The sequence below is a fragment of the Homo sapiens genome, chromosome 16 (genome assembly GCF_000001405.40).
Source record: "Homo sapiens chromosome 16, GRCh38.p14 Primary Assembly".
Taxonomy (NCBI): Eukaryota; Metazoa; Chordata; class Mammalia; order Primates; family Hominidae; genus Homo; species Homo sapiens.
Window position 1 is genome coordinate 27,767,463 of NC_000016.10, and position 17,259 is coordinate 27,784,721.

Here is a 17,259-nt window from a genome sequence, read left to right on the forward strand (position 1 = left end):
TAATCCCAGTACTTTGGGAGGCTAAAGTTGGAGGATGGCTTGAGCCCAGGAGTTCTAGACCAGCCTGGGCAATACAGAGAGACCCCCATCTCTACCAAAAAAATAGGCAGGCTTAGTGGCACACACCTGTAGTCCCAGCCATTCAGGAGGCTAAGGCAGGAGGATCTCTTGAGCCCAGGTTGAGGCTGCAGTGAGCTATGATCTCATCATTGCACTCTAGCCTGGGTGACAGAGCAAGACACCATCTCAAAGAAAGAAAAATGAAAAAAAGAATTGTGTCACATCTTACAGCAGGATCGGCAGCCCCTGGCCCTCCCCGTGTAGCAGGAGCTTAGCCAGCATGCTCCTCTGAGCAGGCCGGTCACAGACCCTCCCAATGCCGCCCTGTGTCTCTATGAACGCTCCCCTGGGTTCAACACATTGAAGAAGTCAGATATATTGACATTAAAAAACAGCCTTCTGCCTCAAGTTGTGCCTTTGGGCCTTAAAATTCCCTTGAGCAAATCACAGTCTGTCTGGTAGAGCTTCTGTGACCTGAATTCACCATCTGGGGATGTTGGGCTGAGTTCCCATCTCACAGGTCTGGGCCCCACCAGCCAGACAATGGCTACAGTGGGATGAGGTGGGGGTGGGGGGGAATGGGCACGTGGCCTGAGATGGGAGACCCCCACTGCAGTGAAATGGGTGCTTTGACTCAGATCCCACACCCCAAAAGGCCTTCCCGAGCACCAGGGGTCCCTGACATGTGGTTGGAAGCCAGGGCCCTGGACTCCTGGACTTGGGGCTTCAAATCCCTTCAGTGGCCCTCGGGCAAATCACTTAGTCCCTGTGAAGTTTAGCTTCCTTCCCTATAAGATGGAGGTGGTGATAGAGGTCACCTCGAAGGGAATGAGCAGAGGACATGTGGCCAGCTCTGCCCAGGGAAGTCAGGGATGCTTCCTGGAGGAGGTGTTGGCCCTGGAGGATGGACAGGGGCTTCCTGGGCCTCTGCTTTGCCATCACTGAATCTACTTTTGGGCGACTCTGTCCAGGGCACACTCTGGCAGCTCCAGGCTTATGTCCTGCTAGCTCCAAGCCCAGCAGAAGAGAAAGCTCCCCTTTCCAGGCAAGCCAGCAAAACCCCAGGAGTCATGCTGATGGGCCCGGCCATGTTTCAAGTTCAGCTCAGGGGGCCCAGGTAGGAATCCCCCTTGAGGAAAGCAGATGGAGAGATGGAGGACAGGGACCAAGTTCTAGTGACAGCCACGCCCGAAGCCAGGTAGCACCACACTTCAGGTTTACTTGTCCTGTAACTGACATAGAGGGGCTCCCAAAATGCTGAAGGAACGAGGGGCCCCAGGGGCACATGAGAGCCAGGTCAGGGACCCTTCCTCCCTTCCTTTCTGCAGGAGGAGCGCCTCTGCCTCTCCCTAGAGGAAAGGCACCAGTTGGATCAACAGCTGCACCCATGTTGCTGACCACGAATGTGGGCTAAGGTGTCGAGGAGAACCAGGCTCCAAAATCTGAAATCAGAGAGTGATGGCTGTTGCCCCTCCCTGCCCATAGAGCAGGTGGTGGCTGGGCCGCCTCAGACTCTACCATTAGGACTTTGAAACTGACCAGTAGAACCTGGCCATCTGGCTGGAGAACTCTGGCTAGAACAGGGAGAGATGTTGGCTCAAATCCACGTGAATCCTGCAAGCTCTTAGAAAGCATCTGCTGTGTTCCAGGCCCTGAGGCAGACAGAGAGGTGGTCCAGCCAGAACCTCTGCCATAAGAGAGACCCAGAAGCCACTGGGATGCTGCTAGGCATACAGGCCCAAAAAGGATGAGCTCAGTGCCATGAGAAGGAAGATCAGAAAGAGGCCTGTCCTGTCCTAAGGGAGAGCTCCCAGAGGGGTATTGATGTGTGAGCCAGGGGTTGAAAAAGGAGTGATAGAGGCTAACATTCACGAAGTATACAGTTTGTGCCAGGCTCTGTTTAGGGCACTTTACGTAGGTTAACTCATGACCGTGCCCATTTAACAGATGAGGAAATTGAGGCATAGGGAAGGTAGGTAACATACACAGCTACTAGTGGTGCACATGGAAGCGCCTGAGTCCATGCCCTTGACCTCCATCTCATGCCGCCCCAGGCCGCTGCAGCTGTTGAGGTGGGCGAGGCCTTGGCCAAGTCACGTGCCACCCCTGAAAGCCGTGGACCAGTGTCCGCTGTAGCAGGGGGCTCGCCTGTCTTGTCCTCTGCTACCTGCCCAGCGCCCACACAGCACCTGATATGGGAAATGGACCTCGGTCAGGTGGCTCTGCGAAAGGCTCCCCATGGTGAGCACAGCTGCCAGCAGCTCCGGTCACGTCAGCACCGCTTCTGTCCCCACATGGCCTGCCTCCCTTCAGTCATGTTATTTCTTTTGTTTGCCAGGCCAAGATTGTCCACGTCTCCCTGGATGGCCTGTGCGTCTCCCCGCCAGAGGGCTTTCTCATCCGGAAGGGGCCAGGCAACTGCCACTTTGATTTTGCTCAAGAAATCCTCTTCGTGGACTACCTACGGGCTCAGCTGCTGCCCCAGCCGGCCAGGAGGTGAGGAGAAAGTGGGCGCCACACACAGCCCCTCCCGGCCCCTGGGCCCGCTTGCTTTGCAAGTTGCTCTGATGTACATTCCGAAAGGGTTTTGAAACGATGATCAAACGCATTGCTTTTCAACTTAGTCATTTTCTAAAGCTCAGCCAAGCCTCACCGGAAGCCTGTGGAATGGACTTACCTTGTCTGGGGACATTTGGGTTTTTCACAGTCTGGAGTGCTGAAGATTTTAAATGCTTCATTGCGTTTCCTGCTGAGAAAAGAGGCTACAGCCTGCCTCCATTCCAGAAATGCCTGCCGGCCAGTTTGGGGAAGGGCCTTCCTTCTCCCGTTTCTGTGTTCCTGATTTAGAAAGATTCAAGGAGAAAAATAGAGCTTAATATTTCATGGATTCACTGGGATTTCTCGGCCCCAGTCTCAGCTGCATTAAGTTCATAACGATTTGTAAATGCCACGTTAAGTTTACTCATTGAAACCCCCTGATGTCCAAACGCCAGAGGCCAAGCTCTTGAAACAAAATGAGTTTCCCTGCACTGTAGCGGGGTTGGCTGGCTGGGCTGGTCACTAGGAAGTCATTTAATTGTAACATTGCCCTTGAAATGGAAGAGAACCAGGCTAGGGCTGGAGGGCACTGACAGCGGACCAGGGAGAGGGGCCCCGTCAGGAGGGCCGTGGAGGAGAGGATCCTTCCCGAGGGCCAGCTGTGTGAACACTTTGATGTGTCCTTTGGGAAATCCTTCCAGCCACCCTTTGACCTAGCCAGTATGATGCCCGTTTTACAGATGTGGGAACTGAGGCTCTGGCTGGTGGAGCCAGGTGCTGAAGATCATGAAGCCAAAGCCATCAGGGCTGTGCCTGCCTTCCAGCCTCCTCTCACTTCCCTCTCCCCATCCTGCCCCAGACTCCAGCCCTCTGGCCGCTTTCTGGGGCAAACACCAGCAGCCCAGTGACTTCCCACCTTGGGCCTTTGCTCTGCTGCTCCTCTGCGTGGAAGGTTCAGCTCTGGCACTTCCCAAGGCTGCCTCCTCCTGGAGGCCTTCCCAGAGCACTCCCTGAGGCAGCCTGCCCCACCCAGTCCCTCTGCCCTGTCACCCCGTCCTGGCTGTCGGCACAGCGTGGACCCTCCTTGTGTTTAAAGACATAGAGGGGGTTGGTTAAGAAAGGGGGCAGTGGTACCAGGCAACCTCACGTCCCATCCCGGTTCTGCCACTACCAGCTGCATGGCCTTGAGCAAGTGACCTCACTTCTCCGTGTTCCAGTTTCCTCATCCACATCCCAAGCATCTAAAAATACCCACCTCCTAGGGTTGTGTTGAGGAATAAAAGAGTCCATTTCAGGAAAGCCCTGAGCCCCGTGCCTCCCTGGCACAGCATCCTGCCAGCATTGGCAATGACTGTCATCTAGAGCGGGAACTCCACACGAGCAGGGGCCTCATCTCTCTTTTCCCTGCTGCATCCTAGGGAACGCTAAACTGCCATGTTTCTTCAAAGGCTGTTACCTAGGGGGTAACTGGCTGGTGATTCTGGGCCGTCGTGAGCTTCTTCATGGTGCTGTTTTGTGCTTTTTCAGGCTGGACATGAGAAGCCTGGAGTGTGCAAGCATGGACTACGAGGCACCGCTGATGCCCTGTGGCTGTATCCTTCTCCTCCCGCCCCACCAGCACATTCTGGGCCCCGAGGCAGCGCCTGGGCCGCAACTGCCCAGCCAGGGTTTCAGGCGGCCACAGATGAGGCAGCTGGAACTCCATGCAAGGAAACCAAGGCAGAGGATAGGAGGCCTCCTGGGTCCTCAGGGCCACTAGGAGCTGCTGGAACTGGGGCAGCCAGGCTAGTTCCTGCTGAGGCTGGAGGGGGCAGCACCCAGGACTCCAGCTGGGAGGGGCTAGAGAAGCTGGCACTGACCCCAGTGGCTGGACTGGGGAAGGGGGGTGTCCTGGAACCAGCCAGGGAGGAGGTGAAGATAGAAATAACTTGGCAATCCAGGCACAATAGCTCACACCTGTAATCCCAGCGCTTTAGGAGACCAAGGAGGTTGGATTGCTTGGGGCCAGGAGTTTGAGACTAGCCTGGGCAACATAATGAGACTCCATATCTTAAAAAAAAATAAATAAATTAGCTGGTGGTACATGCCCATAGTCCAAGCTACTTGGAGGCTGAGGTGGGAGGACCTTTTGAGCCCAGGAGTTCGAGGCTGCAGTGAGCTCTGATTGCACCACTGTACTTTAGCCCAGGCAGCAGAGCCCAGCACTCTGGTACTACTATCATTCCCATTTCACAGCTAGGAAAACTGAGGCACAGAGAGGCTCAGTAATTTGCCCAAGGCTGCACAGGTGGGAAGGGGTAGGGCCCAGGGGAGGTGAACCCAGGCAGCCTGGCTCTAAGGCCCGCTCTCTAGCCAGCCAGTTCTGGAAGCACTGTCTCTGGCTATGCCATCATCTGAGAGCCACCCGGCCTGCTCCTGGGAGTGCGGGGAGTGAGCAGAGCACAGGGCTGAGGAAAGGCTTGATGCCCAGCTCTGCACGTGGGACTTCAGCAGCAATGGTGGTCTCCTTGCCCCGGCCCATGGCCCCTGGCGCTGTGAGGTTTATGTGTCCCCTTCTTAGCCTCCTGTTTACTTGAAAGGGATGGAGGAGGTTGCAGGTACTCTGTTCTTGTCATTTCACAACCAGGGAAACTGGAGCATTTTGTTCAATACCATACAATCAGTTTGTGACACAGATGTTTCCCCATCCTGCCTGCTCCCTGGAGAGCACCCTCTCCTCCCGTCCTGTCTCCTGGGGCCTAGAGGAAGGCTTTGAATTCCTAATACACACACACACGGGCACACGCACACGTGCACACATGCATGCATACACACACATGAACACTCACATGCACACACACACACACATGCACACACATGCAATTTAAGAAAATGTGATGCTACCTATATTTTGATAGGCTCTAGTTGCAATAAGAGAAAAATGTTTTTCTCTCATTCATCAACATAAACCCAAAACAATTCCTCTTATCTTTGCCATTGTTTTACTATATTCTGAAAAAAAAAAATTAAGCCTTCTTTTCCTTAATAAAGTGTCCCAGTCATTTTCCAGTTTCAGCTTCTCACCAGCTGGGGCGACCCCTACTACATCGGCCTCACCGGCCTGGAGCTGTATGACGAGCGAGGAGAAAAAATCCCCTTGTCGGAAAACAGTATCCTTTGTAGGACAGGAGTGGGCTCCACCCAGACTGAAGGGAGCATGGGAGGGTCGGGAACGGGGCAGAAGCCTTGTGTGCAGAGGGAAATGGCCCTCTAGGAACCAGAGCCCAGGGGGCTTTGCTTATAGTCAGATGCTGACCCTTGGGGACGGGCAGCAGAGAGCAGCTCCCAGCCCTGCCTGCTAAGACATCAGGAGCAGGAATTCCACAAACCAGAGTCCTGTGGTCCAGTGAATTGAGAGAGGCTGCCAACTATAGCGCCCCCTTCTCGGAGAACCACAGATACTTTGGAGTTCCAAAGGCTCTGACAAGGTCTGCAGGGAGAAGCCTGTTGCACTGTGTTCAACTCAGTGTGTCCTGAATTTCTTAAGTATGGAACCCTTTGTGCATAGTATGCCCACACCAGAATTTGCAGACTGTTAGCCCAGTGCATTTTAAAATGAGTTGCTAATATTTTTAGAAATCACGAGGTTTCACATGAAAACCCTGATCTCTGGTTTCCCCTGAGAAATTGGCAACACAGGCCCTTGATTATGCATAGTGACAATGGCTGGACCTGGTTATCTGTTGCCATTTCTCCCCAAGCATATCCTTCTGGTCTACCTTAGCCCCCCACTCCTCCCATTGTTATCTACCAGGCCCCGAAACTCACTGCTAATATTTTCTCAGGGCTCACTCTGTGCTACCTCATCTGCCCTCACAACAATCTTGTGAGGTGATTGCTGCTGTTATCCCCATTTTACAGATGAGGAGCCTGAGACACAGAGAGATTGAGTAACTTGCCTAATGTCACACAGCCAGTGAGTGTCCAGACACCAGCTCTTGACCAAGCAGTAGGCTATCCTGCCTCTTTCATGTAACCTGCCTGGCCCCCTCGGATCTTGAATCTGTGATCCCTGGCCCACCACAGTTAGGGAAATACCAGGGCAAGTCGAACCCCAAAGCCTGCCTTGCATCTGTTTGGGGTCCCTGGCTTCCAGTTGGATCCTTTTCTGCCTTCCCCTGGTGCCACCACCCTCCTCAGCTGGGATGAATGATTCTTGATGTTTTAGATCATTATTAGCGACTCCTCGAAGCTATAAAGTTTCATTGATTTTACCAAAGTGCTCACATCTGGTGCACTCTGAGATCCTCACATCCATCCTGGGAGCTGGAGGTTTTTATACCCATTTTACAGATGGGAAAACAGGCCCAGGGTTGACCTGTGACTTGCCCACGCCCTCACAGGTCATAATGGCAGAGGCAGAGCTAGAAGCTGGGTTCTGCAGATCACATTAGCTGGGTCCAGCTGCTCCGAGGTCCTTCCACACTGACCAGGAAGAGAGGCTCGGCATGATACTCACATGCCAGGGTAGAATCCAGCCACCGCCCCATTCCCTTCCAAAAGAAAACCTCCGCAGAGCTTGCCCTCCACCCTCTCAAGCAGCAGCAACATTTTACGTCCCCAGCTCTGGCAGTTCCCTGCAACGTCTCTTTTTCAGCTGGCCTTCTGTGTGGTTTCCTTCTCTCTCTACTTGAAACTGACCACCTCTCCAGACACACCTGCTCCCCTTGGGCCCGGCACTCCCCGTTTCCCCAGGACACGTCCAATTCAGCTGTCACTGCTGCGGCTGCCCAAAGCATCAGCCCTGCCAGCCCCAGAGTCCCCCGAGCCACGCCATCAGCCTGAGGGTGGCTGGCAGCCCCGAGCACACAGATTTGGGTTATGGCAACTTAGACGTCTCCTCAGATATTGCGGCCTTCCCCGACAGCGTGAACTCCCTGGAGGGTGTGGGCGGGGACGTCCGCACCCCAGACAAGCTCATCGACCAAGTGAACGACACCAGTGATGGCCGGCACATGTGGCTGGCTCCCATCCTGCCGGGCCTGGTGGGTTCCCGGCAGCGGCCACCGCAGCTCCTGGCCCTCAGGCGGGCAGGGGGACTTTCTTTCCCTGGTCTCAGTGACACGTCTTTCTTCCAGGTCAAGTTAATCTCAAGCCAAGATGCTTGGGAGCTGTCAGAAAGGTTTAGGTCTTTGCTAACTTGCCTGATGGGGTCAGCTCTTCCAGGCCAGCAGTTCTTTCTCTTTTATAAGTGGACACCTGGGGCGAAAGGGGTCCCATGGGAATCTGAAGCCAGGAACCCCAGCACAACTGCCTGAGGGCTTGGGCGTCCTGGGTCCCTGCAGGCAGCCCTCTCTGGTTCTCTGCTCTGCCTGGCTTTGCAGCCACTGTGCCCTCTTCCTCCCCACCCAGCTCTCCGCACACTCACGGTTTCTGCCCCTTCCTACATCACCAGGTAGATGACCCCAGTACGGCCGCCCTGCCCTCCTTCTGGCCCTAAATTGGCCTGGTCAGCTCTTCCGACCAACTGACTCAGTTTCCCAGATCTCAAATCTTGCACTGGGTCCTGCTTAGCTTTTAGCTCTGAGGCCTCATGGTGAGAAGACGTGGTTGGTTGTGGTGGAGAGGAAGGGGAGAGGGCATGGACGGGGTGGTCAGCCCCCCTGCAGCCTCTCAGCCCAGGGCCAGGTGCCTGGTAGAGATGCACAGCGGGTTCTTGGCAGCCATATGACTAGGGATGTGTCCCTTGTCCATGCCATGGGACTGAGTGGGGGATCGGGGGCACCTTTTTCTCTGAAAACACAGGAAGGTACAGCATCAGCAATTCTATGACGGAAGTTTTCCAAAGGCCACCCTAAAATTAGACCCCCCCTATTGAGCGTCCTCAGCTTCCCCTGCCCCATTGCAGAGGGGGCAACAGAGCTCTGTCCTCCCTGAGACTCAGGCCACCCACTGACGGCCAGCGGGTATTTTCCATTGTCTAGCACTGGAAGGCCTTTTGGGGTGCGGCGACTTCAGCTGTTGCTCTCGCGGCTGGACTCCAACATCTGTATCTGCTTGAGCCTCACAGGCAACTGAGTTTGGAGACCCTCACCCTGACCTTTATTGTTTCCATGGTCCAGCCAGGAGGCTGGCCCTACCCGAGCAGCCGCACTCCCTCTTGGCATATTCTGAGGATGGTCACAGGCTGGGGACCAGGGCCTGGGGCAGGACTGAGCCTGCAGTCTGTGGCCAGTGTGGAATGCTTATTTCTTGATTCTGTCTTGCAAGGGAGGGCCTCCCCTAATATCTGAGAGCTTTGGTTGGGGGTGGGGAGAGGGAGGGCTGTTTGAGGCTGCTCCGTCCCACTTTTCCCACTGGATTCTGCCCCGATCTAGACAGCCCCCTTTTTACTCCCCCAGCGGAGGTTCACAGACACGCCCTGGACATTGTCCAGCAGCACCTTGGCGTTGCTTCTCAGTGATGGTTTGGGGAAAGGACAGACAGGGTCAGATGCTGATCACCATGGCTGGTGCTCAACCCGAGTTGGGGACTGTCCCTTTAGCTCATGGGGCTCTAGACTATTTCTGGGCCTGACCTGAGGGGACGTGGGGGAGGGCCGAGGATGTTCCCAATCCTCCACTGGCATTTAAATGAGGGCTCCGACAGGCCCAAGAACACAGGCCCTCCAAAAGCCAGCTCAGCGGTTTGTTGCAAATGCAGCCACACGTGACCTGACTCAAGATGGGCTTCGAGGAGATGAAAGGGGGCGGAACTCCAGGCTGGCCCACGTGGCAGGCGCTGCCTTGGGCACCACCGCTCACCCCAGCCCACGCCTGGCACCCCCAGCCCAGCCAAGCGCCTCTGTTTCCAAACATGCCTGTTTTAATTAGTGCCGCTCTCTGACAGGTGAACCGGGTTTATGTGATTTTCGATCTGCCTACCACCGTGTCAATGATCAAACTGTGGAATTATGCGAAAACACCCCATCGAGGGGTGAAGGAGTTTGGCGTAAGTACTTATTAGCTGAGTTTTTTGAGATAATTATGCTCGTTGGTAATTAGGCCGCCGGCAATTATCATTTGTCGCAGTTTGATTTACTTCTCTCTGTTGCAACCCTCAACACAAATGCCTGGTCGTCAGATGCAGGCGAATTTCCCACCCAACCATGAATTCAGAACCTGCTGGCAGTGATTTCAGTGTCACCCTGAGCAAATAGAAAGTGGGTTTTCTTTCGTCTTTTCCTCTAGAATCCCACTGGTTTGGGGCGGTGACCCTGGGATGGGGAAAACAGGGACCCTGGATACCAGAGACCCAAGTTTGCCTCCAGCTCTGCCACTTGTGCTAATGGTATTAAAGCCCCTCGGGCCTCAATTTCCTCATCTGCAATGCATGCTGATAGCTCCTGCCTTTCCCAATGGTTGTGAAGATCTGAAATCACAAGGCAGACACAGCACACAGTAGGCGCTTGTTCCTGACAGCCCCGTCTTCCCGAGGAGAAAGCCTTGGCTCAGAGCAGTAACGCGTTCTGCCCAAGGTCAACGTGGGAGGGACGAGGGGGACCCATGAGTCCTGCCCCGTGTCCCTGCAGCTCCTGGTGGACGACCTGCTTGTGTACAATGGGATCCTGGCCATGGTGAGCCACCTGGTGGGGGGCATCCTGCCCACATGTGAGCCCACCGTGCCCTACCACACCATCCTCTTCACCGAGGACAGGGACATCCGCCACCAGGAGAAACACACCACCATCAGGTAGGGCCCCAGCCGGCCCCATGGCCTCCCCACCAGCCCTAAGGAGGATGGATGGCTGGGACACACGGCCAGGAGCCTGATCGAATCTTGTGTTTCCTTCCTACCCTCAGTAATCAGGCCGAGGATCAAGATGTCCAGATGATGAATGAAAACCAAATCATTACCAACGCGAAACGGAAGCAGAGCGTTGTTGACCCAGGTCAGTGGCGTTTCTCTGCCCAGAGCATTGTGCCTTGGGAGCTCGGTCTGAATATAGAAGGAGCTGGTGGCCTTGCACCCCCACCCTCACCCCTGCCTGCCCCTAGACCGCTCTCCTCTGCCCAGGAGCCTGCCCAAAGGCCTAGGGAGGGACTGAAGAGGATGGAACCAGGGGAGCAACATGCTTCCATCTTCTTGCAGGCACCTGTAACACAGTGGAGCTTCCTGAATCTAAGTGTCGTGGGCACAGAGTGGGGAAGCAGTCAGGGACAGAGCACCATGTTAAAGGGGTTTGCCCCGGGCCGTGGGAAACCAATAGAGGATGCCCAAGGTGAGGGCTTCCCGGAGGAGGTGATGTTTGAGCTGGATCCTAAAGGATGTGAGGAGTGTGCCAGGCAGCCTGGGCAAAGGCTGAGAGGGGTGTTGTGGCAGAGCCTGCTCCAGGCGGAGGGAAGGGGCCAGCGTGCCAGGCGCCCCGAGAGCAGGGACTTTTCCAAGGGCCTTGAATGGCAACCCAGGCTGCTGGATTTCACTGGGGAGTGTGGGGCACCCCTCCAGGGTTTGAGACTTAGTAACTCTGGTCCCTCTGTTCCCTGTCATGACAGCCTTACGTCCCAAAACCTGCATCAGCGAGAAGGAGACGAGACGACGGCGCTGCTGACTGGTGAAGGAGGGAGAGCTGGTCCTCCCACTATGGTGGGCTCCGTCAGCAGCCCCACTCAGTGCCTGCGTCCCTCACCCTCAGTCCCAGGAGCTGGAAGCGAACCACAGTGTTGAGGGGAGCCCGCTGGGAAGAGGGGACTCGGGAGGACAGCCCTGGATACTACCAGAGTGACAGATGGCTGTGGCTGCAGGGCAAAGAGATCCCCTGCAGTTCTGGGTTGGCCACAGGGAGCCCAGGACACCCGCCTTCATGCCTCTGCTGTGAGACCCAGCAAAGCAGGGCCCATGACCACTAGGGCCTGGGCTGACCCTGACTCAGAACAGGACAATGACGGGGTGGGGAGGCATCCCATCCAGCCTCAGAGGGCCCAGAGAATGGCTGAGCAGGACAGTGGGAGACCAGACCCTACCCCGCAACTCCAGTAAGCAGGGCACTGCCCAGGGAGACTGCCTTCAGAAACCTGAGCTTCAGCGGCCAACACCCCCCATCCCCTGCGCATCCTTGTCTCATTTGGGGACTGGTGGAGCTGGCTGAGAGGTTGGGGTAGTTTCCTGGTTACAGGGGTCCACAAGACCCTCTCTCATCCCGGTATAGGGGCCTCTCTCCTCTCATCGGGCCTGATAAGGGATTGGCCAAGGCTGTGTGCATCCTGCAGAGGGAAGGAAGTCAGCTGGGCCACCCGCCATCCACCTTGGCAAGAGCTGGGCCCACTCTGGCAGGCCAGGGTATCATCTGCGTGCTGCTGCCGGGCCAGGAAGGGTGGGTGGGTGGCCAGCAGGCTGGCAGCTCCAGACCCCAGAGGGCCAGAAGAACTCACCCCAGTGCCCTCTGGATGCAGGTGTTGGGGAACACTGAGGACAATCCCCCATCTCCCCTCACCCTTGAGCAGGCCCTCCCTGCACTCTCTGCCACATGTCCCTCCTGGTCTGATCACGGCTGTGCTCACTGATGTGGCTGCTTTCTGTCTCTGCCCCTGTGCCCTTGGAGGCAGGCAGTGAGGTGCTCCTTTCCCAGGCCCCCACCCCTTCTCCCCCTTCAGCCACTTCCCAGCGAGTTGGAAATGTGCCTTGCACCCCCAGCCGAGTGAAGCCCAGAACGCATCTATATGCATCGATGTAACAAGCTCGGATCAGGGACCTAATTGGTTTCCCAGTAGTGGGTAATTTCTCGTTGCAAATATTAATCCGTTGTTTTTCTGGCGCCCAGCCCGGCCCGCCGCAGTACTGTACTCGAGGTACGTTCCTATGCAACCGAGAGCCCCGGCAAATACTTCATGAGCTTAGCAGCCTGGGCTCGAGCAGCTATGCAAACGCGCTTTTCATTTGGAGCACGGGGCTGATGTGAAGATAAGAATTGTTTCTCCTGGAGAAAGATCCATCATTTCTCCAGCTTCCAAGCCCCCGGCACCTCTGCTCAGCTCCCAGATGTGACGAGCACCTCCCGCCAGGGGGAGTCAGGGGTTGATCAAACCAGCTCTTGTGACCCAAACCAGTGCCGCTGCATTAAAGGGAGGCCCAGCTACTCCTTCCCAGCTGAGATGTGGGTACAGGTCAGATTTGTCAGGGAGATGGCACTAACACGACACAAGCTCACTCCCAGAACCGCAGCTGATGTTTATAATAATCGTATGTACTGTGCAATTTAGGAGGGGAAAAAAAGGCTGTACAAGCTTTAACTCTAAAATAAATTTCTATTTTTTTCCTCTTGCAAAATTAATAAAAGATGTTATTAAGAATATAGTCCGAGTCACCGGATTTGGGGTCAGATGGGGAGTCCATGCTGCCTCCAGGAGCTGAGTGACACAGAGAAGCCCTCACTGAGCTGCAGATGGGGTCATGATCTCGCCCTGACTACTCAATGAGATTGTCCTGCCGTATGAGCAGACAACAGTAGCTCATCCATAGAGAGTGGTGATTACATGCCTGGCTCTAACTTGTTTAATCCACGTAACACAACCCTTTGGGGTGGGCACTATTATTATCCTCACTTTACAGATAAGGGAGCTGAGACACAGAGAGGTTGTGCAGCTTTCCTGGGACACACAGCTTTGGAAGCTATTAGCCAATGCACAAATCCTGAGAGGGCCCCTGGAGAGTTGAGGTGGGGGTGACAACACTTGGGTCTTTGGCCCTGGGGTTTCCCTTCACCATGTGTGGATCCTGGAATGGTGGCCCCCAGACCCCCAGTTCCTGGACCTCCTCCCTGCCCACCCCCATGCCCCTGCTGCCTCCAGGGGTGAGTGTTGGCAGCTTGTGGCTTCTGGATAAAGCAGCCCTTGAGTGGAAAGAGGGCTCAGTTGAGGAGGGTCACACTGCAGTTCAGGCACCGGCAATAGCACTGGCAGCAGGTAGGAGAGTCCTTTAGAAACCCTACTTTGCTTCACTGTGTGGGTCAGAGGAGAGAGCCCCCTCTGTCCAGCCAGGAGAGGCCCAGCCCCAAGCATAGAGGGAAAACAGCAGGGGCTCCGGCCGGCCTGCTCCATGCCCCCTGTTCCCTCTGATTTCCTAAGAGACGGGCCTGGCTGTGCCCAGCCATGCTAGTGTTGGAAAGCAGTCGCCCTCCCTCCTTTTGGTGGAAGGATCTCTGGGCCAGCCCTGGAGACCCTCGAGGGCAGCCCAGACCTTCCAGCATTCCCTCTGTGAGAGTGGGAGGCCGGCAGGGGTGTCCCAGCCTCTCAGCTCTGCTGAGCCTCTCCAGCCCCTGCCAGAGCCCTGGGGTGGAGTCCTGTTATTCAGGGGCCAGACAAGTGATGTCAGGGAGTGATGTCAACACTGGCCTGCAAGGACCGTGGTTGACACGGCGGCACAGGCCCTTCGAAGGGGTCAGCCACACCTCAGATCCAAGGGGCCAGCAACATCCGGTCTTCAAGGTTTCTTTTTTTTTTTTTTTTTTTTTTTTTTTAATTGAGACAGAGTCTGGCTCTGGCTCTGTCGCCTAGGCTGGAGTACAGTGGTGTGATCTTGGCTCACTGCAAGCTCTGCCTCCCAGGTTCATGCCATTCTCCTGCCTCATTCTCCCAAGTAGCTGGGACTACAGGCGCCCGCCACCACGCCCGGCTAATTTTTCTGTATTTTTAGTAGAGACAGGGTTTCACCATGTTAGCCAGGATGGTCTTGATCTCCTGACCTCGTGATCCACCCGCCTCAGCCTCCGAAAGTGCTGGGATTACAGGCGTGAGCCACCTCGCCCGGCTCGGTCTTCAAGGTTTCTAAGAGAAGCCAGACAGCCAGGCGTTTCTTTTATCTTTAATGTGAAATCTAACTTTTAAATGTTGGCTCAACTTCAACAAACAGGCAAACACACACTGAGTGAGCCAAGTATTGAATAAAACCCGTCCGCAGGCAGGCCCCGGTCCGTTCACCAATCCTGCTTGCTCAGCGGGCCTCCCTTTCTGCCCCACCTCCAGCCTGGGGTTCAAGAAATGTCCCAGGCTGGAATCTCCCAGCTCCTCTTCCCTCTCCAGGGAGGAAAAAGGAGAGAGGGCTCCTTCCTAGCCTGTCACTCCCACTCCTCAGCCCCCAGATGGGCAGAGACAGGACGACCATCAGGTGACACCTCTGGGTCCTGGAGGCGGCAGCCCCCACACTCAGCTGTTGTGGGTAAACAGACGTCCTCCTTTCCCTCCACATGCTGAGGCTTCCTATTCTGTGCAACGCCCCCCGACCCCCAGCGCCCCAACAAACAGAGACATAAATGACTCCCAGGCTGCCACTGTCAGGGGTCAGGGCTCGTTGGCTCCCTGGCATAGGTGACTGGAAATGGGCCTCCACTGCAGCTGACAAGAGGGTTACGGCACGGGCTCCCAGTGGAGGCTCCCACAGGCCTCCAGCCCTTGGGGACCTGCCTCCTCTGTTCAGCAGTGGGAAGGACCTGCTTCCCACCCCCCTGGAAGTTCCAACACTGGCACTGCCACCCCAGAAGGACCCAGAAGGACCCCCCCAGAGCCTGCCAAGGGGGGCTTCGCAGCCAGGCAGGTGGCAGCTGCCCCATGCGAGGCACGTGTGCTGAGATGCCCGGGTTCCCTCTCCCAGCCTCACCTCCCGCCTCACTTGGAGCCAGGACAGTCCCTTTCCAAGGCCCCCAGGCTCCACCTGGCCTCTTCACAGTCCACAATCCAGTGGCCCAGCCTCTTGGGTTTGGCGGACTCACTAGGCGATGCTTAATTTTTTTAAAATGAGTTGCCTTCCTTTATTATCAGGTTTCACATTAAAATTCAGATTCCCTGCTTCTCTGGAAAGACAGGAAGATCTGGCAACCTGGTCCCACGTTCCCAGCTGGCCCCAGAGCCTGAGCAGTGCTCTCCAGATGGTCCTGGTCCCCGCCAGCCCCTCTTGTCCCACCCTTGCCTGCAGTCCTCCCTCGCATGACCATACACACACACACCCAGCCAGCGTGTGAGTTTGCAACCCCTGAGATAGAAGCAGGTTAAGGAATGTGGAGGAGAAGAGGGGACGTGGGGATAGTGCTGCGGGGCCCAGTGGGCGTGGAGCTGGCAAGGCTGGACCTCTCGCAATGAGACCCCAGCCTCCCAGGCATGCGCAGTGCTCTCTGGGGCCCTGAGACTTGAGCCTCTGAGGGCCAGAGGCCGGGGAGAGCAAGAGGTGGCCAGCCTCCATCCAGTATGTTGCATATGTCCCCAGGTGCTCTGGGGGTGCCTCCCTGACTGTGTGGGCATGTCCCAGATTGCCGTGTGCAGTGTGGCATTTATGACAGCACTCCAGTCTCCTAGCCTCTCTGGGAAACTGCTCCACTCACAGCTTCTGCCACAGGGGCAGCCTTTGACAACCATATGCTGTGATGATGACAACAAAATTCCTAACAGCGGCCAGGCACGGCAGCTCAGGCCTGTAATCCCAGCACTTTGGGAGACTGAGGCGGGTGGATCACTTGAGGTCAGGAGTTCGAGACCAGCCTGGCCAACATGGTGAAACTCCATTTCTACTAAAAAAAATATAAAAATTAGCCAGGCATGGTGGTGGGCGTCTGTAATCCCAGCTACTCAGGAGGCTGAGGCAGGAGAATCGCTTGTACTTGGGAGGTGAAGGTTGCAGTGAGCCGGGATCGCACCACTGCACTTCAGCCTAGGCAACAAGAGTGAGACTCCATCTCAAAAAAAAAAAAAAAAAAAAAAAAATCCTAACAGCCAATACACACTAAGCCCTCATCCTGAGAGCGAATGCGCTGCGGTTTCTCCTGAAGGCGCACAGTGGTGAGTTGCAGTGAGACCTGGGCTGCAGGCACCACTCTCCCCAGAAAGCTGGTGAGGACTCACACACAGTGACCCTGGGGCCAGCTGCCAGGGTTCCAGTCTAGGCTCCACCAACCACTTCCTGACAGTGCGACCTTGGCGAGTGACCTTACGCCCTGGGCCCTAGGCTTCCTTACCCAGGCTGCAGTGGTACCAGCAGTACCTCTGTCATGGAGCAGAGCTCTCAGGCGCCAGGCCCACTGGTGCTCACATCAACTCCATCCACCATCAGACGGAGGCTGGGATGTGACTTCTGGGTCTGGGGTCTTCACCAGAGCAACGTGGCACTACCTCGCACCCGGTCCCTCTCAAATTTCCAGGGCACCATCCCAGCCTTGGCAGATTGGTCCACAAAGAAGGGCACTGGCCTTAGTGCAGCCAGCCCATTGGCTGAGCAGAGATCGATGTCCCGATGCCCTGCCCCTCCTCCGCCAACTCTTTCCCCTTCCCTATCCATTCCCTTCCCTCCCCTGATTGGCCCCTGGGATTCTTCCTCCCTTGCCTCCTCTCCCTGGGTTCATCCTGCTTGCACCTCCCACCCCCAACACACATGCCCTAGAAGTTCTCAGGAGGGCCGGGAAGAAGGGGTAAGAGTGGGTGTACCCGGCTGGGCATGTTGCACCCACTCACCAGCTTGGCCCCATCACAGAGCTTCTCCCATGCAGAGGCCCCTCCCGCTCCCCCTGGAGTCCCAGGACCCCTCATTACCCTGGGTGCCCGCTACTCCTGGCAGCTGCCCACTCCCCTGCCAGGCCTGTGGCCATCAGCCCGGCCCCTTGCCTTCCCTAAGGCAGAAGCTCAATGTCAGTCCAAGACTACATGTGGCCCAAGGAGCAATTAC

The 17,259-nt window shown here is 56.0% G+C and overlaps 1 protein-coding gene across 18 annotated transcripts in view, besides 3 other annotated features; it reads left to right on the forward strand.

The window, feature by feature from the left end:
• Positions 1 to 12,882, forward strand: part of KATNIP (katanin interacting protein) — a 230,201-nt gene extending 217,319 nt beyond the window's left edge. For all 18 annotated transcript variants that reach the window (XM_005255201.4, XM_005255202.4, XM_011545775.3 and 15 more), the window contains 8 exons: positions 2,399 to 2,556; positions 4,126 to 4,190; positions 5,637 to 5,747; positions 7,483 to 7,622; positions 9,466 to 9,567; positions 10,148 to 10,308; positions 10,419 to 10,507; positions 11,112 to 12,882. In XM_005255201.4, coding sequence (XP_005255258.1) covers positions 2,399 to 2,556; positions 4,126 to 4,190; positions 5,637 to 5,747; positions 7,483 to 7,622; positions 9,466 to 9,567; positions 10,148 to 10,308; positions 10,419 to 10,507; positions 11,112 to 11,167 — 882 coding nt within the window. In that variant the 3' untranslated portion in view covers positions 11,168 to 12,882. The remainder of the gene's footprint in view (positions 1 to 2,398; positions 2,557 to 4,125; positions 4,191 to 5,636; positions 5,748 to 7,482; positions 7,623 to 9,465; positions 9,568 to 10,147; positions 10,309 to 10,418; positions 10,508 to 11,111) is intronic.
• Positions 1,975 to 3,174: an enhancer, noted in NCBI's record as "P300/CBP strongly-dependent group 1 enhancer chr16:27780758-27781957 (GRCh37/hg19 assembly coordinates)". NCBI's record gives its function as "activates an origin of replication core promoter dependent on BRD2, BRD4, P300/CBP, MED14 and CDK7 cofactors, with strong dependence on P300/CBP, by STARR-seq in HCT116 cells {active_cell/tissue: HCT116}" and the evidence as "EXISTENCE:reporter gene assay evidence [ECO:0000049][PMID:35650434]".
• Positions 4,011 to 4,776: an enhancer, noted in NCBI's record as "H3K4me1 hESC enhancer chr16:27782794-27783559 (GRCh37/hg19 assembly coordinates)". NCBI's record gives its function as "activates a minimal SCP1, AML or CMV promoter by ChIP-STARR-seq in primed H9 embryonic stem cells {active_cell/tissue: H9 hESC(primed)}" and the evidence as "EXISTENCE:reporter gene assay evidence [ECO:0000049][PMID:30033119]".
• Positions 7,013 to 7,513: an enhancer, noted in NCBI's record as "H3K4me1 hESC enhancer chr16:27785796-27786296 (GRCh37/hg19 assembly coordinates)". NCBI's record gives its function as "activates a minimal SCP1, AML or CMV promoter by ChIP-STARR-seq in naive H9 embryonic stem cells {active_cell/tissue: H9 hESC(naive)}" and the evidence as "EXISTENCE:reporter gene assay evidence [ECO:0000049][PMID:30033119]".